Below are 24,535 nucleotides of genomic sequence, written 5' to 3'. Positions count from 1 at the left end.
GGATTTCCTCAACCATTCAGAAACATTTACTCATTTTATTTTTATTTTTATTTTTATTTTTTGAGATGGAGTCTCTCTGTCGCCCAGGGTGCAGTGCAGTGGTGTGATCTCAGCTCACTGCAACTTCTGCCTCCCAGGTTCAAGTGATTTTTTTGCCTCAGCCTCCCGAGTAGCTGAGATTACAGGCATTCGACACAATGTCTGGCTAATTTTTGTACTTTTCATAGAGACGGTGTTTTACCATGTTGGCCAGGCTGGTCTCGAACCCCTGACCTCAAGTGATCCGCCCACCTTGGCCTCCCAAAGTGCTGGGATTACAGGTGTGAGCCACTGTGCCCCTGACCCATTTGCTCCTTTTAGATTTAGATATATCAGTAGAATGATTGTAGCTCAGGAAAATCTACTCAGCCAGATAGCATTACCTTTATTCCTTCCATTAGCATGTGCACTTCTTTCCAGCTAGTTGTCCAATTCAGGAGGCACAGATAGCTGTAATCTAAAGTATATACCTTCATGTTCTGAACTATTGGTAGAGCAAGTATGGTAACTAAATCTAACACTCCATGCAAACTAGGTAGAGTTTTCAGTCTTGTAGATTTTCAGCCAAAGTGTTGTAATGGGTGACGTATGTCTTTTTAATATTAATGGAGGGTGTTCTACCCTTTAGTATCTTTTTTGTGACAGTGATGGTGGTGAATTGCTGTCATGGATTCTGGTTGTTATAGATCCAGAGTGTTCTATTAAGGAATATTCTGTGTTGTAAATCCCAAGACAATTGTGAATCTTAATTACTCTGCTTGTAATTACTTCTTTAGTGCAATAAATTAATCTTAGTTTATGTCTAAGCATTTTGGGTCTCAGGGCATTCATAAACAATCTCTCATATTTCCTGTGTGATCTGTTACTGTTATCAAGAGAAGTGTTCAGAAAGAGAAGACAACTGGCCCCAAACTATGTGGAAACTAATAAATACAGAACAGCCATTTTTGAATTTTAGTCTCACAGTAGCTTATAAATCTCTCAAATTGCACAGTGCATAATGAAATCAATGAATATGTGAATACATTAATTCAAATTAAAACTTGCCCAGGACTGATCTGGAAATTGTTCAACATTAGTAAGAAAGCATGAGATATTTTTAAATGGGAGAGAAGTCTAATCATCATACGTGGCAAAAAGATAAGGAAGTTGGGAAATGTGCAATAATATAGACATCATTTAGTAGATATTTTGAAAATACAACTTTGGCTCTTAATAATAATAAAATGTATAATTAAATACTGTTGCCTCAGTTTATCCAAGATGATACTTGTTTGGAGGCATAAGACTAAAGATCAGTGTAGGAACACATCTGCTCAGGGGGACCTTTGTGCCCACAACTGGGAGCTCATTTTTTTTAATTTAAATTACCTCCTTAAACATCCTGGGACCTCCTTCCATAGATTTTTTTTCTTGGCTAATATAGGAATTCAGATGAGATGTATTATTGGTCCGAGTAGTAGAAGTTATGGACCTGTGACCTTGTGTTCTCCCATCACAATTTTACCAACATCTTCAGTAGTATGAATTCAGGAATGGAGGTAGGGTTGCATTGGAGGTGAATTATAAATCATGTTAAATTGTTCAAGAATTTTCTTTTGTTTTCCTTGGTCATCAAATTTTGAGGTTTGCTAAGTTTTGTTCTTTTCTTTGTTTGAGCTACTTTTTGTTCCTTTTATCCTGCCTGATCTGGCTTCATTTTGTCATTTTTCATGGAGGTTCTCTTATGTCACCTATTCGCCCACCATGGTATTGGTGGTATTCAAACTTAATGTTAATTCTTTCATAGTAGCTTGGTTATATGTTCAAAAAATATTTATTGAGTGTTCATTATGTGTTTGGCACTTTTCTAGACTTTGAAGAAACAGTGGTAAACAAGACAACGTGTTCCCTGCCTTCAAGAAGTTAGTGTTCTAGTGGGAATGGAAAACTGGTAGGGCATGAGAACAGATTTCTTTTATACAAGTTGTCAAACTTGTGATAAAATGTGATAATTTCAGATTGTAGTAAGTGCTATGAAGGAAATAACAAAAGTGATGTGATTCCAATCAATAAAATGATAGTGGGGCTGCTTGAGAAAGAACAGTAAGGGAAGATGAATTGGTAACATTTGAGCAAGCTACCCGTGGAAAAAGCAAGGGGAGAATATTTAAGCCAGAGAAAAAAGGAAGTGCAAACTTTCTGAAAGAATAAGAAGGACAGGATGGAGGCAAAGAAAGGGCACTAATGTATCTGGAGTATCATGAACAAAAGGGAAAGTAGAATAAAATAAGGTTGGAGAGACAGGGAGTAGCTAGTTTAATAGGAACTTACAGACCTTGAATCTTAGGTTGGGTTCTGCATGAAACAGATTCTGGAGTGGAGATTTGCAGGAACAAATGTAACTGGAGAGTTCTCTTGTTCTCAGCATCAAACAGCTTTGTTCATGCTGGAGGAAGTCAGCTTTCTGAGAGATTGACAAGAGTAGGAAATTAATTGGAAAATAATCTTCTTTTTTGTTCTAATTTATCCTTTTAACCATTTTTTTTTGAGATGGAGTCTCGCTCTGTTGCCAGGCTGGAGTGCAGTGGCACAATCTCAGCTCACTGCAGCCTCCGCCTCCTGGGTTCAAGCAATTCCCCTGCCTCAGCCTCCCAAGTAGCTGGGACTACAGGTGCCTGCCACCATGCCCGGCTAGTTTTTTGTATTTTTTTAGTAGAGATGGGGTTTCACCATGTTGGCCAGGATGGTCTCGATCTCTTGACCTCGTGATCTGCCCGCCTTGGCCTCCCAAAGTGCTGGGGTTACAGGCATGAGCCACTGCACCCGGCCATCATTTTTTTTTTTAGTGTGCTCTTTCCTTTTTTTTTTTTTTTTTTTTTTTGCATCTTCTTTGTATATTAATCTGTTTTTGCTCTTTTTTCTTCAATGGTCATTTTGGGGTATAGGATTGATTTTGAGACAGACTGAAAACAGTTAAAAATCTCTCTTAGCTTTTCAGACAAGAAGCAATAATGAGGTGGCCTCGTTTAGTGGAAACTGGAAAGCAAAGATGTGATGGACTTCAGAGATATATAGGGTCCGGAAGTTGGCAATTCTGTGACTGAATGCAGGGATGAAGGAAACCAAGGAGTTAAAGGTGAGGAAATCAGTTGGGGCAATAGGAACTAGAAGAGGATGAGTTCTGTTCTGTGGAGGGTCCTTCTGAGGTGCCTCATAGGACAGCCATCTGGAGATGGACCTCTGGCAGCTGGAAGTGTTTAGAAATCAGAACAGAGTGCAGGCTAGAGACACAAATTTTAGAAACGTGTATGAAGGTAATAATTTTGTAAATAGATGAAGGTTACTATGCCATTTTTAATGTCAAGTACATATAACAGAGAGCATGTCATTTAACTGAAAAATGATGAAAAGCTATTTTATTTTCACATATTTAAAGATTGGGCATAGTTAGAAAGGTGAATGCACCTTCCCTCCCACTAAAGCTTCTAAGACCTTTTGAATGAGGTTAGTACCAGATGAAATTCTGGGAACACACAGACCTCCTTGTGAGGGACACACGTTTGGCAGATACATAATCTTAAGGAGAGATCCATTAGTTTGCTTCATGCTGCTTTTGGATGGCAAGAATTTTGTACTGTTTTGCAACAGATATAGTTTTGATAGATTACATTGGAGGGCAGAATTTTCTGGAAGGCCTTTTCAGATTTAGGAACCATGGAAAATCAGTCATTATTTAGTAATCAAGAGAATTAAATGCTTTTATTTTGCTGAGCCTGATCTACCTAGTGAATGTTTTATTTCTCTCCGTGTGTGTATTTCATTTTGCAAATATAAGTATTATTCTGTGTACTGCTTTATTAGTTATAATTCATGTATCATTTTGTAACAGAGAAGTATCTTAAAATTATAATGTTTGCACAAGATTCTCTGTGATGATTGAACCAAGAAGGGATGTAGGAAACAGGTAGGGTGCCTGATGATTTAATATTTCATCTTAAAGACAAAGGAGAATAAAAACAGTCCATTTGTATTTGGCTGCTTTTATGTTACTGGCAAGAACAGTCAGAAGCTCCCCATTTTCAACTGGTGGTTGGGTGTCCAAGGAATTCTTGAGTTTGTTATTTCATATGAAGGATGTGCCAGATAAAAACCCTTAGAGACCGAAAGTTTCCTTGTTTAGTCACAAGACAAACTTGCTCTTTTCTTGTAGCAAACTATATTACTACCCTTTGTCTGACTTGTTGATTTCGAGTTGGAGGGCAGTGTCCATTGGTCCATGTCAGTCACTAGTGCACCTAATAAAAGGCCTAACAGATATTTAGGTTGTCAGTGTTTGCATGCTAGTTGGTTAAGCCATCTGAATTGGATTTGATTGATGACCTCGCTTGCCCTTAAGAAGAGGGTTTGTGACCACAAGCCACAGAAAATGACATGTAAGATCAATTGATGGTTAGTAAGTTAAAAAACATCCCATCACCCATTTTGTGTGAATATTGTATTGCTATGGGTTTTACTTGGGAACATATAAAAAGGTTACCACATACTCCAATATGTGTTTTTCCTACATTTCAGTAACACCTGAATGGAAATCTAACATGAGGACTGTTGAAATTATTTTTTTCAAATGGGGAAGGGAGAAGAAGGTTAATAATTTTCCATACTCAGATTAGAAAGGTCACGACCATATCAGTTCAAAGAAGAGAATGCATGTGCTCATGGCTGGTTACCAGGTGAATTTTGCAAACATTTTATTATATACATAGTTGATTTTTTTTCCTTCCTGGGAAACTTATATCCATGAATCTGGAGTTTTACATTTTGGAGCTACATTTTTTGGTCCCTTCTACCTATATTATTTTTAAAAGATATCTTTATTTTAAAATTGAGCAACTTGAAGTGTATGTGTGTGTGTGTGTGTGTGTGTGTGTGTATACACATACCTGTATTGTAAATAAGAAAGGTGCTTAATAAGTTTGTCTTAAAACTCATGAAAGCTTGGCGTAAAATCTCACACTAATCACTATGGATGAGAATGGCTCTCGTTGAGAAATAAGGGCTGATGGCTTTTTTCTCAATGATCATGTTAAAAATATATTGAGAGCATTGTAGGACTCCAGATGCTTGGGTTGTGGCTCACAATTTTTACAGAATTAATTTCCAAAATTCTTGATTACTCCAGGAGGAAATTTATTCCAAAAGTAAGCTGTGTGCTTCCTTCTTAAATTTAAAAATTAATGCATCAAAGGTGTAATAAAAATCATCTCTTACAATTAGAGGTCCTAAAGAAATGTTTGAATTATTATGGCAATTAGAAGGGTACCTTACTTAAGATTTTGAGAGTTTTGTTGCTAGCAAAGCAGAGAAATAAAAAGTTAATTACTTTTGTAAGGGAAAACTTGGGAATATAGGTATGTCCCTGTACCTTTTCAGATATGTAAACAATATTTAGGTATTTTTACAGAGAATTGAGAAAAAGTACAGGCACTGACACTACTACAACCATAGTAGAAGACACTACTACAAAGATAGTAAAGGACAACTTTCTATGTAGATAAATATCAGTTATTTGGAGTTTATTATCTGAAAATATTTTGATAATTTCTTCCCATTTCTTTCAAGATAAAAATTAAGTTTTAATAGCAGATATCTTGCTTAGAATCAAGTACATTTTAGTGACTTGGCATTTATTCATTATTCGTTTATTTAGTTTATCACTTTTTTTTTTTTTTGAGACAGAATCTCTTTCTGTTGCCCAGGCTGGAGTGCAAGGCATGATCACGGCTCACTGCAATCTCCGCCTCCCAGGTTCAAGCAATTTTCATGCCTCAGCCTCCCGAGTAGCTGGGATTACAGGCATGCGCCACCACATCCAGATAATTTTGTATTTTTAGTAGAGACGGGGGTTTCACCATGTTGGTCAAGCTGGTCTTGAACTCCTGACCTCAAGTGATCCACCTACCTCAGCCTCCCAAAGTGCCAGGATTACAGGCATGAGCCACCGTGCCTGGCCCTTGCTTGTAGACTTTCATTCTCTGGTTCCATACTCCACAATATTATCAGCCCTATCTCTCAAAAATAGCATTGGTTATATTATAGCATCAATTAATTACATTGACATAAAATTAAAATGTCTCTACTTGTCACTTCTTGTAATATTACCTAATTTTGTTTTTCTCTAATTTTTCATAATTTATACACCTAATTTATTACCTTTCACGGGCTCATGTGTTTCCTATTTAAAGTCTGAAATGTGGCCAGGTGCAGTGGCTCATGCCTGTAATCCCAACACTTTGGGAGGCTGAGTTGGGAGGATCACTTGAAGCCAGGAGTTCAAGACCATCCTGGGCAACATGGTGAAACCCCATCTCTACCAAAAAATATGAAAATTACCAAGTGTTGTGGCGCACGCCTATAGTTCCAGCTACTTGGGAGGCTGAGGTGGGAGGATTGCTTGAGCCCTGGGAGGCAGAGGCTGCAGTGAGCAGAGATCGCGCCACTCCACTCCAGCCTGGGTGACAGAGTAAGACCTTGTCTAAAAAAAAAAAAAAAAAAGAAGTCTGAAATGTAAGTCATTTGTATCTGTTCAAATGATATAAGGTGGTATCAAGCATTCTTACACATGATGGTGGTCTTAGAAAATCATTTAGAGGATGCTAGGAGAAAAATTGAGCTGCCATCTGGAGAGGCTGCTGGATTGGCGACTCCCTCCTATCATTGGTTTACTCTCTCCAGGTGCCTTACTAAAGAGAATCAACAAAGAGAGAAGGACTTTGCTCAGTACCTTCTGCCTTAGAGGCCTGTCTGGTCATCTGCTGCCAGCTCTTTCCAGGGAGAGATGAGGAGCAGCAGGCCTGTGCTCTCAAGCCCTCAGGGAATGCACTGCCTCCAGTGGGACAGAGTGGAGCTGTTGCTTGTGTCATTGCTGCAGCACATTATTTGAAACTGACCTCAAGACTTGGATTTGCTCAGTTTATTTTTAGAAGTAATGACAGTATAGCACTTTGAGGCCTGAATGTTATTTCTAGACAAGAGTAATACTGTTTTTCTGAGAAGTAGAATTTCAGGATTTCAAATGGATTTTTTGGTAAATATTTCTGAAGCTTTTCCAGTAACTGAGACTTTCTGGGCAGAAAGGCAAGATGGGACATAGTGTGCATCCTCTGTTCTTGCTGACCTCAGTATCTCAGAGTGTGACTAGACGCTGTTACCGAGCAGCTGCATAGTCATCTTCTTCCCTTGTTCTGAGCAAGTCCTCTGTTACACAAAGAAGAAAAAAGCAATCATTCTTTTCAGTCATTTACCTTCCAACTTACTAAATTTGAAATTATAATTATACATACAGTACATACAAGGTTGTCTGTAGGGAGTATATTTGTTTTTATGTCTTATATTCTGGCATGTATATGAGTTTGCCTAAGAGATTTGGAGATACATACACATGCATACATACATGTGTCTGACTTTTTATGTAAATATATTTTGTATGACGTGTTAATTTATATGATACATGGCTATCCAATGTGGTTATCTCTACAAAGAAATGTACTCACAGATGCATTTAATTTTTACAGATACAATTTTCATTAGCTTTCTAACTGAAGTCCCTGCCTGTAGACTTTCATTCTCTGGTTCCATTGTGTACTCCACAGTGTCATCAACCCTGATTTTCAAAAACAGCATTCATAGCCAGCAGTTTTGTCTTGCTTCCTATATGCCAGGCACTGTTCTAACTTTTTATATATAAATCTCTCAACAATTCCATGAGGTAGGTGCTGTTAACATCCTCATTTTACAAAAGAAGAAACTGAGGTACAGAGAGGTCAAAAAGCTCACTCTAGGTCAGAAACAATCCTAAGTGGTAAAGTCAGTCTGAACCCAGGCAGTCTAACTCTAAAATCTATACTCTTAACTACTATATTGTGTTGCACACAGAATCTGGTTCCTCGTGCCTCTGATCAAAACCGATATTTCCTGCAGCAGAAAATCTTAACATATTAGCACAGGATTAATTTGTTAGCTTTTTATGTTTTTCCCTGCTCACATTTGAGGTTGTTATCCACAGACAAGTATATCAAACTATTGCTGTTCTCCAAACCTTCCAGATAGTTTTCTGACTCTGTGATGTTAATCATGCTATTCCTTTTATCTGAAATTTACTTCATCTTTTTCTACCCAGAAAACGCCTATTTATTCTTCAAAGCCCATATCAGCCTTCACAACTCTTTTATGCATTGTTGTAAAATTGTATTTTCTCTCATCTGTGTTTCCGTAGCACTTAATAAGTAACTCCGGTTTTGGTGCTTCTTTCATTGTATGGTGGTGTTTATTTGCCCTTAAGTGTCATGTGCTCTTCATTGGGAGTACCATCTCCCCTCTGCTGATTTCATTCAACTGTCTAGTAACCAGATTCACCTCTCAGCCATGTTCCTGTATCATCAGTGCTGCTCTGCGGTGCCCTGTCTGGTTTTCAGTCACAGTTTCCTGTGCAGGTGGTGGAGGATTTTGAAATGCTTGAAACTGAACCATTACACCCACTTGAGATAGTTTCTTTTGTCTGTGTATGATAGGAGGTGGGTGGGGAAAAATAAGTGCACACAGCCTATTACCTGGAGTTGAGATCACCAATTAAATGTCATGAATAGGGTAAGATAACACATATTAGTTGTGTTTAAAATATTTTGCTCCTTAGATTTTTATTCACTCTTCACTTTAATTTAGAAAGGCAGTTTTCAGATGTTGGATGAGCATTGACTAATTTCCAAATACCTTTTTATTTGTTTTCTGCATTATAGATCATGTGACTCAAATGTATTTAGGGTAGCTAGCAGATGATTGAACATGATGAAACTATGAGTCTTTTATTTATCTAAGTAAAGCAGTGAATGCAGATGGGTTTATTATAGTCATAGGGCCCCATGTACTTTAGTCCTTATTTCATCCAGCAAAACTTCGATGACTAATTTTGACTTCAATTGAGGAATATTTTATTTAAAACATTTGCTTAGAATAATAGTCATTGTAAAGGAACACTTTTCATGTGTTTACTGAACCAAATGCTAAGATGATACAATTCCTAATTTTAAATAAGATAAATATCAAATTATAGGTTTTTGCATAATTTTAGTAAAATAGATGTGAGAAAGATTGGAGATTATGTGAGGATTCTAGGTACTTAAGTTGGAGTAGAGGAGAAAGAAGGAAGAAATGGCCTACTCATAATTGCATTACAGTTTTTTTCAGTCTTGAACAGAAGTTGAAGTCTGAATGGTACTGAAGTAAATGAGAGATTCAAATCCAAAAGAAGAAAAAGTCCTCATTATAAATTTTGGAAATGCATAAAAATGGTGAATGATAATATTCTGATATTTGAAAAAATAAATAAAGCTACATTTTAAAATTTAATTTATAAAAGTCTGAGTGACTTTTTAATAAATTAAAATTTGAAATTATAAATTTATATGAGAAATTAATTTTTCTCATATAAAAATACATTTTTATAAATTTCTCATATACTTTCCTCTTAAAGCAGTTTATATGTGGCAATTTTTTAAAAAATGAATAAATTAAAACTGAAGATTGCTCTTCCTCTTCTATCAAAACAGCTAAAACATTTAGCTCCTATTCTGTGATGCAAAGTTTAACATATGTAATCTGATTTAATTCTTGCAGTTACCTGTACAGCATTATCATCTTCCATCATATATGCATGGAAAATTAAGCTTAGCAATTTCCCCAGAAAGGAAGGGGTAGAATAGGATTTAAACTCAGGTCCACTGCTCCTGTATCCCATGCTTTTTCTAGTATATTTTGGTAGAGAATGTCAGTTTTGAGTACAGACATACTTTGTGCTGGAGAAACCAGCAAACTGGAATTACAAACTAATCAAATGACAAAATGGAACTGGAAAAGGCTGTTTTTTTTTTTTAATTGAATATGTTACTGGCATATGTAAAACAGAAGTCATTTAAATAAGATATTCATATTTCAGTTGTCGTTTAAATATCAGTAGAGAGTTTGATTAAATAGTGGATTGTCTGGGTGTCTTTATCCATGATCTTTGCCCCTGCAGTTATGATCACTTATTTTTATAGCATGGAATTAACTCAGCATAAAATTTGAGGTGAGATTTTGTTACTCAAAATAATCTTGAAGTTTTCTGGGATTAGTGAATGTTTTCTTGGGACTGGCCATGTCACTCACTATCTTTGCACTGAAAATGAAGAATATACAGTATATTAGTCCATTTTCATGGTGCTATTAAGAACTGCCCAAGACTGGGCAATTCATAAAGAGGTTTAATTGACTCACAGTTCCACATTGCTGGGGAAGCCTCAGGAAACTTACAATCATGGTGGAAGGGGAAGCAAACACATCCTTCTTCACATGGCGGCAGGAGAGAGAAGTGCTGAGCAAAGGGGGAAAAGCCCTTTATAAAACCATCAGATCTTGTGAGATCTCACTCACTATCATGACATCATGGGGGTAACCACCCCCATGATTCAGTTACCTCCCACCAGGTCCTTCCCCTGACATGTGGGAATTATGGGAACTACAATTCAAGATGAGATTTGAGTGGGGACACAGCCAAACCATATCACACAGTGTATCTCATTTTTTACTTTTTATACAGAAGTATTGCACATAATATGAAGAATAAAGGGAAAGAAATATAGCTTAAATATGACTATCAGTAAAATACAATATTTGCTTCAGTAAATGTAGTCAACAGGGAGCTAAGAAATACCTGGGTCTTCCAGCACTTCATAATTTAATGAATGATTATAGGAAAATTACAGAAATCCTTTTGTACTTCATTCTTTCTGACTCCTAATTTAGGGGAATGGTCTTTGAGACCCACCTTTCTCACAGGGAGATGGTGAAGATTAATTAGCCCATGCTAGCCAAGTTCCCAGTGCTGCCCCAGAGAAAGGTGTTCCATAAATCAGACCTATCATTAAAATGCCTTCATTTGTGTCTAGTCCTTGCACAGGATGGTGCCATCACTCCGTATCCTAATGGGAGTCACCCACATTCAGGCCAAGGACAGGTTTTTCCATAACACAAAGAACGTTTGTTCTATGTGACTAGGCAGATTTCCTCCTCTGTGTGCCTCAGTGTCCTCATCTATCAAAGCAGCAGTCCATAGCCAGATAATTCCTAAGAGGAACTTACCCTAGAGTTGCTCTGATTTATATCTTTTTGTTTGTTTGTCCCACTCAGCTTCTTGAACCTATTAAACTTTTTTTTAAGCTCATGTCCTACGAAAGAACTGTAACAGACATAGAGATAGGCCATTCAGATGCCCCTCCAAGGAAGGCAGTCAGGAGAGCCTCCAGCAGTCAGGGTCAGCTTCAGCTGCACAGAGCTGGCCCTCCCAAAGTCATCTCCCTCTTGTGGCACCTCACATCTGATGACTAAGTTAAGACCCCAGCACTAGACAACTCTGATGGACAGCGTTTGTTCTAGAGTGCTCCACTGGTTTGAGACATTGGATTTGCCTCATGGTTGTTTCTCATGCTTCCTGATCTTTCTTCCTTCTCCTTTCCAGATCTGATAAAATCTTACAGGTCTTCTATGTAAATATCTTACGCCCTATAAGCCATCTCAGCATCTGCTTCCATAGAATCTGAACAATGACAAGAACTTAAATAATGTGAAAAAATTTGTGACTGGCTTGGGCAATGTAGCAAGATCCTGTCTTGATTTTAAAAAAAGAAAAAAATAATAATAATGTGAAAAAGGACTAGTAGAAGGGAAATCCTCAAGCCACAAATTACTAGACTTCTTTATAATGGGCTTGTTTCATATACTGTAGTTTATTAATTTGGAAATTGTATTTTCATATTAAAACAAAGCATGCCCCAGAAGAAAGGTTCAGTCACTTTAGGTAACTTTTCTTTAGCTGTCTTCAAATAAATCATTGTGAGAGGCCTTTCTTCCTTTCCTTTTTTCTTATTCTTTCTTAAATAGTTTAGATTTGCTTATCTTTGTCTTAAGAAAACTAGTAAGTCTGACACCTACTATGAAGTTGATCTGATAAAGTAAGTTGTATGCTGCGTATTTCCAAATTAGATTTCCTATTGTAATGGAGGGCTAGTATTTCTTTATTTGTTCTTTAATTCACAGTTTACATTTAGAAGTTTTGCTTAAAATTATTTTATGTTCTGAAATCAGAGTCGTCAAAACTCAATTCAGCGTTTTTAAAAATTTGCTTTTTCTCTACCCATGGTTAAGGGATATGACTTACTATTTCTGTGGGTTTCTTTTACATGTTATTATTGATTTTTAAAATCAGGACAGAAAAAGCAGAGACTGGAGAATATGTGGCTGGAATATATGATGGACATCTAGGGAAGAATTAAGAAAGAAAAGAAAATGGCTGGGGAGAGGCAAGTATTTAAAAAACAACCGCATGTGTTAGTAGAGAAGAGGATAAGAGTCTAAATTTTGACATACGTGTATTAGTAAACCTAAGCTACTTTTGACTTTGCACACTGTTTATTTATGTTGTGGTCACAGAGTTAATTATATCTGTTAGAACAAGCCTTTGAAAGTTTAATGAGCTCTTTAGCATTAACAACCTTTCATATTTCCTTATTTTTTTTTCACCTTTCCATTCATCCATCTTAAATTTTGCAGCTCTTAACAATGTTATTGCACTAGAACCCCAGAGCAGCATTAGGTGAGTGGAATGTGTTCCAGGGTTAAAATAAAAACAAGGCACAGTACATAGTGTGTTATTCCTATTACATAAAGTATTATATAAAAACAAGCTAAATTTCTGCTATTAGAAATCAGAATAGTGGTTATTCTGGTGTGGAGGTAGGGGCAGGGAGTAGGAGAGGCTTCTGGGTGCTGGTTATGGCACCCAGATCTGTTTCTTGATCTGTGTGCTGATCACATGTGTGTTCATTTTATGAAAGATCATTGTGCAATATACTCATGACATCTGCAGTTTTCTGTCTTTGTATTTTATACTTAAATATTCAAAAAATTGGGTGAAGGAAATGCCTGTGGGCTGGATTTACTTTGCTTCACTTAGACCTTTAAGAATCACAGAACCACAGCTAGTTAGATTTAAGTTCTAGTCTTCTACAACACTGTAGGGTTTAGAGTAACTATAGTTAATAATTTATTATATATTTTCAAATAGCTACAAGAGAGGATTTTGTATGTTCCCGACATAAACAGATGACAAATGATTGAGGTGATGGATATGCTAATTACCCTAATTTGATCATTATACATTGTATGCAGGTATCAAATATCACTTGATACCCCAATTATTATAATATGTGTCAACTAAAATTTAAAAACTAAAAAAAAAAAAATCACAGAACCAACTATAAAATCACAGAAATGGAAAAGGTCTTAGTTTAGCCCACTGATGTCACGAAGAGAATAGATGCCTAAAAGGCTTTGAAGTCTTGCAAGGATCCTAGGGAACGATGATTTCATGTCTTACAGCTGAGGAAACTAATGTCAGTAAGGTTAGGTCCATTGCCCAGGGTCTCACCAGAGCCTGCTAAAGAGCTCTCAGATCCACCTTTCTCTGCTGTTCAGCTTCTTTCTACTGTGTGGCTTAGCCTGTCTCCTAATAGCAGCTTCTTCATAGAACTATTCTTATTAAAAACGGGGCTTGAGTTAACCTAGCTTATGAGGATTTCTAATGACAACTCTTACAAAAAGGGTATTTTTCATTTAACTTGTAGGCAGCCTGATTTTCAGCTGACCAGAACAATCAAATTATAAAATATTCTAGTTATTTGAGATGTTACCATAGATAGCTTTAAAAAATCTTTATTTTCATGACATTTATTTTATCACATAGCTATTATTGCATAGTTTCGCTTGATCTCTGAAGCTTTATCAAGATGCTACTAGATACTATCCTATGCATATTTTCCACTTAACACAAGTATGATATCCCCTTTAGATTTATATGTATTCTGCTACCATGAAAAGCCATTTTTTTCCTCTGTATACATGAGATTATTTTTACTTGACTGACTTATCTCTTTAATTCATTGCCTGTCATTCAGCTCATATCATATATATCACATATATGAGATTGATAACCTAATAAATAATCCCATTTTTGTCAATCCAGTAATCATTGAATTTACTAGAATCTACTCAGTTCTTATCCAAGGGCCACTACTGACATGGGCCTTCTTATTTAGATGGTATTGCATCGCTTGACTCTTAGAGAAGGCTCTGGATGATTGACAGATTATCCTCATGTCTGACGGAAGTAAGACGAGCAAGTTCCTTCAAGAAGGAAGTAAGCCAAGTTGTATCAGATATAGTCTCCATTCTGTTACTTTCACTTTCCTGTTGATACCCCTTCTTCCTGTTTATTCTGAATGCATTTAATAAATATTTACGAGTATTTGCTGTAGATCATACACTGTCTTAGGAGCTGGTATAAAATGGTGAAACAAAAAAAATCAACATAGATCCTGCTGTCTTGGGCCTTATTTTGTTAGAGACAGAGCATTAAAAAAAATCTTTCAGCTAAATAGAAATCACAAATGGGTCAAGTATAATATAGAGGTGGAATTTGTGCTATGTATGTGAGCCAATGGTAGGGAGTCTGAGCACATTAGGAATGGCTTCCTTGAAGAAAAGATACTTGCTTTAGGATATAAAGAATGAATAGACAGACATAAATCAGACAGAGGAGCGATTAGTATTCCAGCAGCCAGGATAGCATGCACAAAGGTTCTAAAGGCAACCCAATAGTGTAGGGGAGTGAGGCTGAATTTTAGCTCTTCGCCTTTAGGGTTTTTTCTGGCTAGGCCTAAGAATTAAATTGACATAGGACAGATTAACAGGAGAAAAGCACAGGAATTGATTTAATACAACTTTTACAAAGCAGTGGGAGTCCTCATGAAGAAATGAAGACCCAGAGAAACAATTAGAGTGAATCAGTTATAGATTGAATTGGACAAAGAATAGTAAGTTGTGAAAAAGCAACTAAATTATGTGGAGAGGCTTAAGAGACAAGAGCTATTTTAGCAAGGTCTGTACAGAATTTTCTTTGGCTCAAATTTCCATCCTTGATGATAAGAATGTTGCTTTCCTTCTGGTATAGGGAGAGGACCTTTCAGTGTTCCTGCTTTTAAGAAACAGAAAGGAGGCCAGAATGATCTTGTACCTGCTGTTTTTCAAGTACCTTTAATTCACAATAGTCATTATGCCAGAATGGTATATTTTTAACTCCTTCAATGGCACATTTGAGGAACTCAAAGAAGGCCAGCATGACAGGGTCAAAGAGTGCATAGAGTTGTGTGGAGCAAAGTAAATAAAGTGACTTATGGATTGGGAACAGTGGAGGAGTCAGTGGACTGGTATTCCTGATGGTTTGAAAAAAAAGCCACTCTAGGAGACACTGAATAATCTAGAAAATGGGCAGTTTATGGCCAGCAACTGTGATTTTTAACTCCCTGATTCTGGAGGAGGATGGCCAAGTTTCAAGGAATGACTGCGAGAGTGGTGACTGAAATCGAGTGGAAATGAAGACCACTGGAGACAGGGAGGTCAAGGAACTGACAGGCTGAGTGTTGAACCAGTTATCCTTGTGTCTGTTGAAATAGCCCAGAATGTTGGCAAACTTTCAGTGAAGTAGAAGACTGGATAGATGCCAAGTCTTTAATACATAAAGTGGGTTGAATGGTGGTGGGGAAAGAGAACCACTTAGTGTGCCCAGTAAACATTTCATAAGATTTGAATGGTTTGTATGATAGAGATAAAGTTTCTAGATTTTCAATGTTATATTTTCCCAATTGTTCATTATATTTTGGCCATTATACAGATATATGAAAATCTGAACTAAAGGAGTTTCCTCATCTGGCTTGCATATTTCAAGATGATAGGAATTGTGTCATAATCACTGGTATAGAAGCTGTACAGATCTTGGCTTACCCAAAGACAAGTGGTAGCTGTGAATGAATAAAGCATAGGGATAAATTATGAATGAAGAAAATAGTGCATCAGCTCTATTAGATGGAAGGTGTTATTATTTTTAATTTTATGCACATGTGCAAATTTTATGAACTTTACATGGAATTTTACCTCTCTGACTACAATTACCTTTGCATCTACATTAATTACATAGTAGTCGCATGTTTTTTTTTTCTTTCAGAGATGAACTTTTTAATCAGAATACTTACTTTTCCTCTGATTCCATGGGAACTTTACCATTTATACTAACTTTTTGTGGAACCAATGAGTTAGATCCTTTTGACAGAAATTGCACGGAGGGGCATTCTCTGATATGGGGATACATCTTGTCTGGAAAGGATCTTCCCCTGTCTGCACCTCCATTCATGTTTGTAAACTTTTATCATTCTCCATTTGTTTATCTGGCTAGTGAGCAATCTCTCTGTACCAATAATTGCCTAAGGGATTTAACCAGCTTATGAAAGTATGTAAGTTATGATTTTTAAAGATGAAAGCAATATGTTATATATATGCCTAGGAAAAGACTGGCAAGACATTCATCAAAATGTAAATAGTGGTATATCTAGGTAGTGGGGTAGTTTTATATCATATTTATTTCTTTAAGCTGAAATATACATGTTTTTCAGTGAGAATCTATCATGTTTTACAATGAGATTTTTAAAGCCAATATTAAGGTGAAAGGAAAAGGTAAAACAAGGGTAGGGGAAAAGTCAGGAATTAGGCTATGTGAAAAGAAGAGTTTCTTTTTCTATTGTGTAGAAGATAGGTAAGTTGTCAAAGATGGAATATGCACGCATGGATGTTAGCAGTATGTTTAATTCTACTGCAAGAAGCTAATGCATGATGCTCTCTTCAGAGGCTTCTGGTCACAGTCCCTTATTTCCAGGTCACTTGGCAGAATTCCTAGAGTCTCAAGTTTTAAGGAGCAAATAGTAGAAGTTCCTCCTTAGTGCCTCTGTTGTTTATTCTCTCGGGGGGAGTAGTCATTGATTTCTGTTAACTGTGATACAAAAAACCCACTAAGCACCTGGGGCTTCCCTTGCCACCCCCTTTCCATTTGTTAGGAAGCCTTCTTTAAGCTCTGAGAATATCTGTGGATTAACACAAGTCAGAAATTGTTTTCAGTATCACTCTGCAGACAGACATTTAGCAGGTGGGCAGTAGATCTGTTAATTTCCCATGGGAGAGGAAATTAACTGTCCAGCCTGGACAGGTTTTTGTCTGCCAGCTTTGAAGTTTGTCACATAGAGGAATCTTCCTCTTTCAGAATTTAGAAGGAACCACAGACAATTTAAGTGGCATTGAATATGCTTCCTTGTAAACTGTGGGCATCAAGCCAGGCAGAGTTGCAATAAGCTCTTAACTTTAGGCCTGACCCACTTGTAATGCTATGACAATGCCAAATGTGTGTTCTAAATGATGCAGTACTTACCTGAGACAGAGCATTCTGGGTAAAAGGTAAATGTTCCTTCTCAATGAATGATGAACGATGACATCTAGAATGATGATTAATTGAGAATACCACTCTGCTCAGTCTGGGGAATTTTATTCTGCATTTCATATGTATCATAAATTCAATATCAGAATCAATAAGATGATACACTCCTGAAGTGTAGGTTATCTAGAAAAATTTTAGGTGATTTTAAAAAAATATGCAAGCATATTTAACAACTGCTTTAGTATAATCTACCTAGATTGTTCTTCCTAGCTCTGCTTCCAAAGGGTATTGGACATGGAATTGTGAAAGCAGAGGTATGTGATGTAAAGGCAATGATATTCAGTAAATTCAAACACTAGATGGTTATATATTTGTTAAATATTTATAATAAATCTGTAATCAGAATTCTAACCATCTAGCTTCAGTGGGATGCAAGTGGGAACAACTTTATTCCTCTTCCCACTGAATATATTTATTTCAGCCATGTAAGAAGTCTTGGTTAGATCTCAGAGCTTTGCTGTGTCTTTTAGTCACAAGAACAGTCTCATTTCAGGATTTTAAAAGTCCTGATCAGAGTAATCATTTAAAATTTCTTACCTCAGGTTGGGCCTGTTTCAGGCTTGACAGCCTCCTTGCACCAGGGGGTGTATGGTACTGACACTCTTTGTCACCTGACTTCCTCTCCCACTCACTGGCTGCCCTTAGGGCCTTTTAGAGAAGAGCTGTAAGGGACTGGGCAAGTCTGAGTCACTGGTGCAGTTCCAACCTGCACTGCTACCCTCTGTTAGATGCATGATTGCTGACTCTCTCTTCGGATAAATCCTCTTAGGGACCTCTGGGTATAGTTCCTCTGATAGTCATGCCGCCCCTGGCTGGATGTTTTTAGCTGTCTTTGCAGCTCCTGGGTTTCTGGCTTTACACCCCACTTTTGGGATTACATTGCCTTGCCAGGTGGTCCTTTTGGGCATTGTCCCTTGTGAGATCATTCCTCCTGTGGGCCTGTATCCTGTCCATGAGAATTTTCTTGCAATTGTTGGAAGCATAGCCTGATCACAATGGAGTCCTCTAGGCTTTGCAATTCCAGGACAGTTAGCAAGCCACAATTTCCTGCCTTTAAAGTCAGATTTAAAATAGGTAGTAGTTATTTTTCTCTAACTCCAGGAGATGCATTTTTTTCAAATATTTCTCTCAGAGACACTCATTCCCTTCCAATTTGGTACCCTTGAGTAAGCTCTTTTGTGGTGTGAAGTAGGAGGTGGTACAGAATGTTCTAACCACTCTATCCTGAGTAGTCCTCTCTGGGGGTCTCATTACCTTCTCTTGTAGAGCCAAAAGCAAACAGTGGGCTCATGATGACAGAATGGCTTCAAATGAACCCTTGGCAAGTTCTGGTTTGGCACCTGTATCTGATAATTATTTTGTTTTTAGCCTTCAAGGTTTCAGCTAAAACGGAAAATTTCATTTGTTTTATATTTTTTAATTGATATGTCATAGTTTTACATATTTTTGAGGTACATGGGATACACAATTTCATTTTAAACATCTTGACTCAGTAGTATTTTTTTTCATTTAGGTGGCTGCATTAAACCTCATTTATGTGTGTGTTTGTGTGTGTGTATGTATAGGAAATGAAAGCATTCACAAATGTGGTAAACAAAGAATATAGAATTAAATTAATTTTATTTTTAATTAATTAATTAAATTAATTCAATTAATAGAATTAAAATATATAGATGCAAGATTTTAAGTGTCTTACATTTTTTAACTTGGGGATTGTAGTTCAATCAATGATAACTTCATTTTCTTTTTTCAATTCAAAGGATATTCTTATAATTGCTAGTTTAATTATTAGTTTGCAAGTACTTAAACCGAAACATCTTACTTCATCTTCCAAAACAGCTAGCAGTTCCCTTGTGTTTGCTTAATAAAATATTAATTACAAATATGTTAAGTAGCATGTCTGATATAAGGACTTTTTCCCTTAAAAATAAATACATAGTATCTCAAACTTACAGTATCTTAATAGGATAGAGAGGAATAAATATACCTTTACACATGTATAAGATTTGCTTTTTTGTCATTCTTGGCAGAGTCTGTACTGGAAGCCAATTTCTTTACCTTGACTTTCAACTTAGTGATCATTTTACTATGGCGGGTCACTCATGACTAATGTAATATAAGATATGTATGGGATTTTAATGACTAGTTTTAGCAGTATAAATGAGATTCTATTCACTTAAAGAAGAAAGTTAATATTATAAATTATCTGAGGTATTTTAATATGCAAGTCTTTTTTGTGTTTAGAATTTAAACAATACATTCTCATCTTCTACTTTTTTTCATAAGCATAACAAGGAACATGCATCCACACTTAGCAGCACCTCACATGTATGCAATCTGGGAGGTTCTTCCTAAGGAAAAGATTACAAATAAAAAATTAAACTCAAAAGTGAATATATATTTAGGATGAAATAGTCATAAGAATACAAATTTTAAAAAGCTGACAGATACTACAAAGAATAACAAATTCCAGAAAAATAACAAAAACATTTTTCCTCCTCCTTTGTTCACACACTTGTAGGGTGATCTGTAGTTCAGGTTCATATGCTGATACCACCTCTGGTGTGTCAACATCGTTATCTCATGGCAGACTGGGAGGTGGGTGTATTTCCAAAACATCCCTACATTGGGATGGCTGGCAATAACATACCTCAACATAGAAGTGACTGCAAACCAGGTAAATATGTTTTATTAAACCTAAACTACATGTATGTTCAGTGCAGCTCAACTTTCCCTTTGTTAGATCTCAAAAATGTTCATGCTTGCTCCAGTGTCGCCCAACACAAAGAGAAGTGCGATGGAGGAAAAAGGAGAGTGGAAAGAAATAGTGATCATAACTGATTACTGTTAAGATATCATGTTTTGCAACTTTTATGAAAACATATGAGTCTGTAAACATTGCTAAGGTCCTTTCAGGAGTCTGTGCATATGAAGGGCCCAGATGCCTAAGCTACTTTAGCTTCACAGTTACCTCTCAGGAGAACTCAGTCACAGAAAAATGAATAACAGCATGTTCCAGATGCTTTAAAGGAACCATAAAAAATCTGTGTTCTTTTACATTTCATTCCCTTTATTCTTCTAAATTGTTATCCAAAGTTATTCTTTTATCTCTATTTTTAATGTGTTAGTATTAAACTACCTAAGGAAAATTTTCCTGTGGAAAACCATATAAATATTTTATACTTTTCACTTTTTGTATAAATTCGTGTACTTAATTCTTAGGAAAAATGCTTAAGAATAACAAAATATGTTTATCATACCACAATAAGAAAACAAAAAAAGAAAAACAAAATCCCTGAAGTAAGTGTTCTCTTGTGTTACTGTACAACTGCCTGTAAAAATCATTGGGGCCACTGGAAAAAGATGGTTAAGGGTGGATTGTGTTTATCTTTTTTTTTTTGAGACGGAGTCTCGCTCTGTTGCCCAGGCTGGAGTGCAGTGGCGCGATCTTGGCTCACTGCAAGCTCTGCCTCCCAGGTTCATGCCATTCTCCTGCCTCAGCCTCCCGAGTAGCCAGGACAACAGGCGCCCACCACTGTGCCCGGCTAATTTTTTTTTTTTTTTGTATTTTTAGTAGAGATGTGTTTATCTTTAGTATGCCTTGTTTCCATTCTGGGTCCTTCTAATCTCTAGATAGCCAAAGCTTGAAGGATTTTAATACAAAGTGTCTCAAGTGACTTAGCTCTATTATGCCTAAAAGTCAAAATGGAATTGTGCAGCAAATTTCTCACAAGCAAAATTACATCTAAGGAAAGTACTATTTGATTGTAGACTGAGGGTAGAGTTAATATATTATACAAAATTTATCTCATCAGTCCTCTATAATAGTATAATTGGAATAATTTTATATGAATTAAATTATTGATATACAATTAAAATAAAGATATAGACAAATTTAAACCTCTTTAATTCTTAACATGCACCAACTAATATCCTTATAACTTGTGGTTTATATAAGGGCTTGTTACTTACAATATTAACAATCAGTTGAAACATCATAGTTTTTTATTTATTTATTTATTTGTTTGTTTATTTATTTATTTTTTGAGACAGAGTCTTGCTCTGTCAGCCAGGCTGGAATGCACTGGCACAATCTTGGCTCACTGCAACTTCCGCCTCCTGGGTTGAAGCGATTCTCCTGCCTCAGCCTCCAGAGTAGCTGGGAGTACAGGCCCACGCTACCATGCCCAGCTATTTTTTGTATTTTTTGTAGTACAGACGGTGTATCACCATGTTGGCCAGGCTGGTCACGAACTCCTGACCTTGTGATCTGCCCACCTGGGTCTCCCAAATTGCTGGGATTACAGACGTGAGCCACCACACCCAGCCATAATAGTTTTAAATGGTACTGTTGACAGATGGTCATCTGTTCTGTGTGAACTCTGTCTGATACCATGTGTCCTAATGCCATCTGGAAGTTTTGATTTCCTCCTTTGGACAGGTCTTGACTCTGACCTACTGAGTACTGCTTGGATCCTCTTTCTCCTGAAGGTACATGTCCTGGCTATCTGGCCATTCTGCATACCACTCTCCTCTTCTTATGCTTCCTGGTTTACTCCTCCTGCCTAAATCCTCTGGTGACCTTCATAAGACATGTTTCATATCTTGGAACATGCAGTGAGTGATATAGCCATGTTAACAGAATGACAGACACACAGACAGACAGACAGAGGCACTCTCGTGAAAGGAAGACAGCAACACCATCACAGAAGGTATGAAAACTGAGGGGAGATCGCTAATGTCAGGTAGAGCTACGAAGGGTATAATCAGAGTTTCCTGCCCATCTCCTTCCTTGATCTTCCAAAGGAAATCTACAGTCCACCAACAGTCTCCATTCAATACTATACCTCCTCCAGTGTACCTGTTCTACACAATTATGCTCCCACTTTTCCCCTTCCCAAGGGATAAAAGCTCAATTCAGATTCCCCTTAGCCCATCACCTAGAAGTAGTATAAGGCTTAGTAAGAGGCTCTCTTGAAACTTCTATTAGGTCTTAGCAGAGTATGCCCATCTCCTTCTTAATAGCTATGTAGATAGTTTATATAATCAGACATTAAATAAACATTTATATGAAAATATTTTATATAAATTAGGATTCACTATAGTTTATAATTTTAAAAGGACTACAATAGGTTGTATCTTCACTTAAATTGCAACTGAACAAGAGCCCTATAAAATGTAGATTTTGCTTTACATTTTCATAATTTTGTGTAAAGCATTTTTAAATAACATATATAATGTTATATCTCTGAATAGATGCCATTATTGTTGTGGAAGAGGGAAAATAATTTCTTCTGTAGGACAACATAAGAATGGTGCCATCAAATATCAATATTTATTCCTTTACAGTCCTGTGAAAGAGAATAAATATATTATACAGCAGCTCCCTCTTAAACAATTTTATGATAAACTATTAATCAGAAGAGATGTTTCAGATATGCAAAATGGATGAATAAAAGAATATAGTAAGTTTATAGATAAAACCGAACAATTTTATTTATTTACAAATTTTACACTCAGACAAATAATAGTTTTTTCTATATTATTTTTGAGATGTTTAGCATATACTATAAAACTGAATAATTGTGAGTTTTTGTCCGTATTTTACTGTATTCAGTTTGTCTCTTTCTGACCATAGATACCAGTGGTTCTCCCACTATTTCTGTTATCGGTGGCCTGGAGGGCATAATCATATGATTTTATGAAAAACAGTTATTTTTATAATAGGATACATGTAAAATAAATAATTTTTATGGAATTAATATAATTTTTAATGTAGCTTTTAGGAATTTAGTTCTTTTAAAGTTGGACACATTTTTAGCAATAATAATGATAATAGTGTTGACACTATAATTTTTTGAGGACCTCTTTTGTTCCAGATACAGTGCCTGGTGCTAGGTATTTTATGCCCATGTTATGGAAGGAGCTTTGGAAAGGTCAAGTAACTTGGACACCTAGCTAGTAGTTAGTGGTAGAACCAGGATAGCAATTCTTGTCTGCTTCACTCTGAAGCCAGAGGTCTTTCCATTTCTCTGGCTTGTCTCTTACAGTGTGTCTAGTGTTCTACAAAATTAGGGACCTTCGTTATGGGTTTTTATTCCTCTGTAGTCAGTTGAAAATTCCATTTTCCTCCGTAGATGAAACTGCAGAATGAAGGTAAAATGAAGTAGAGGCTTGGTTCTTTTTTCACGTAATTTTTTTTTTCAAATGTTGGGGTTGAGCTTCTCCACAAGGAAGCCATGGTTTCCAGGCCATATAGAATCAAGGTTGGACTCACATCATAATTCATAATCTACATTTGTATGAGCTTCCAGCACAGAATAGACTTTCAAAAAGTTTCACTTCTAAATTAAGATATAGAAACTTTCATTCAAAATTAAGATGTAGGAATTTTCAGCATCTATATCTAATTCTACTTTGCCATGAAAAGAAGAACAATCATCCTATATAGTTGTAGGATCTTACTGATGCTTCCAAGGCATAGTGGGCAGCAGAAGGACTGGTCCCTAATGTCAGAAAGATTCTAGGTCAAATAGTTAAAAATTCAAATTTATGACACAATGACATAGCATAGTTTTGTAATATTTAATTATGAATTTTTAAAACTTTTTGTTAAATGGATATGACAGCTTTAAATTCATATACATCCTGTTCAGGTTTTGTAGTCAAATGGCCCTTTCCTTAGCCCCTTCTACCTTGCAGTCTGTTCTTAAATGTGACCTACTTAAATGGATAGATTCTATATTCTTTCTAGAGAAATGCCTCATTCAGTGAGACATAATTTCTCTAACAAGAAAAATGCATTCACTGTGTAATTCCAAAACCTCCAGGAAGAAGGCCTCTGAGTAGCTACATTATAGTGCTCCGGAATCCATGCACTAAAAAGTGCATCTTTCTTTAAGAGAGGATCTCTAGGTTCTCACTTCCAGCTTATTTATGATTATATTTTTAAGCTTTTGTTTTCTCTATTTCTCCGTTCACAGCAATTGTGAAAAAAGAAGGGGCATCCATCCTTCATTCATTTATTCAGTCAACAAACATTTATTTAAG

General features: G+C 36.4%; 1 protein-coding gene across 53 annotated transcripts in view; it reads left to right on the top strand.

Moving 5' to 3' along the window:
- Window positions 1-24,535, top strand: part of CAMK2D (calcium/calmodulin dependent protein kinase II delta) — a 310,707-nt gene that overhangs the window by 69,926 nt on the left and 216,246 nt on the right. For 5 of the 53 annotated variants that reach the window (NM_001399861.1, NM_001399862.1, NM_001399860.1 and 2 more), the window contains exon 3: window positions 14,205-14,305. The exons of 46 other annotated variants lie outside the window; for them this stretch is intronic. In NM_001399861.1, the coding sequence (NP_001386790.1) occupies window positions 14,263-14,305 (43 nt within the window). In that variant the 5' untranslated portion in view covers window positions 14,205-14,262. Of the gene's footprint in view, window positions 1-12,316; window positions 12,411-14,204; window positions 14,306-24,535 lie in introns of all 53 variants that reach the window. 2 more of the 53 variants (NM_001399865.1, NM_001321585.2) reach the window with 1 other exon arrangement.

Source organism: Homo sapiens, chromosome 4 (genome assembly GCF_000001405.40).
Source record: "Homo sapiens chromosome 4, GRCh38.p14 Primary Assembly".
Taxonomy (NCBI): Eukaryota; Metazoa; Chordata; class Mammalia; order Primates; family Hominidae; genus Homo; species Homo sapiens.
Note: the sequence above shows the minus strand (reverse complement) of the source record. Positions and strands in the feature narration are given on the sequence as shown.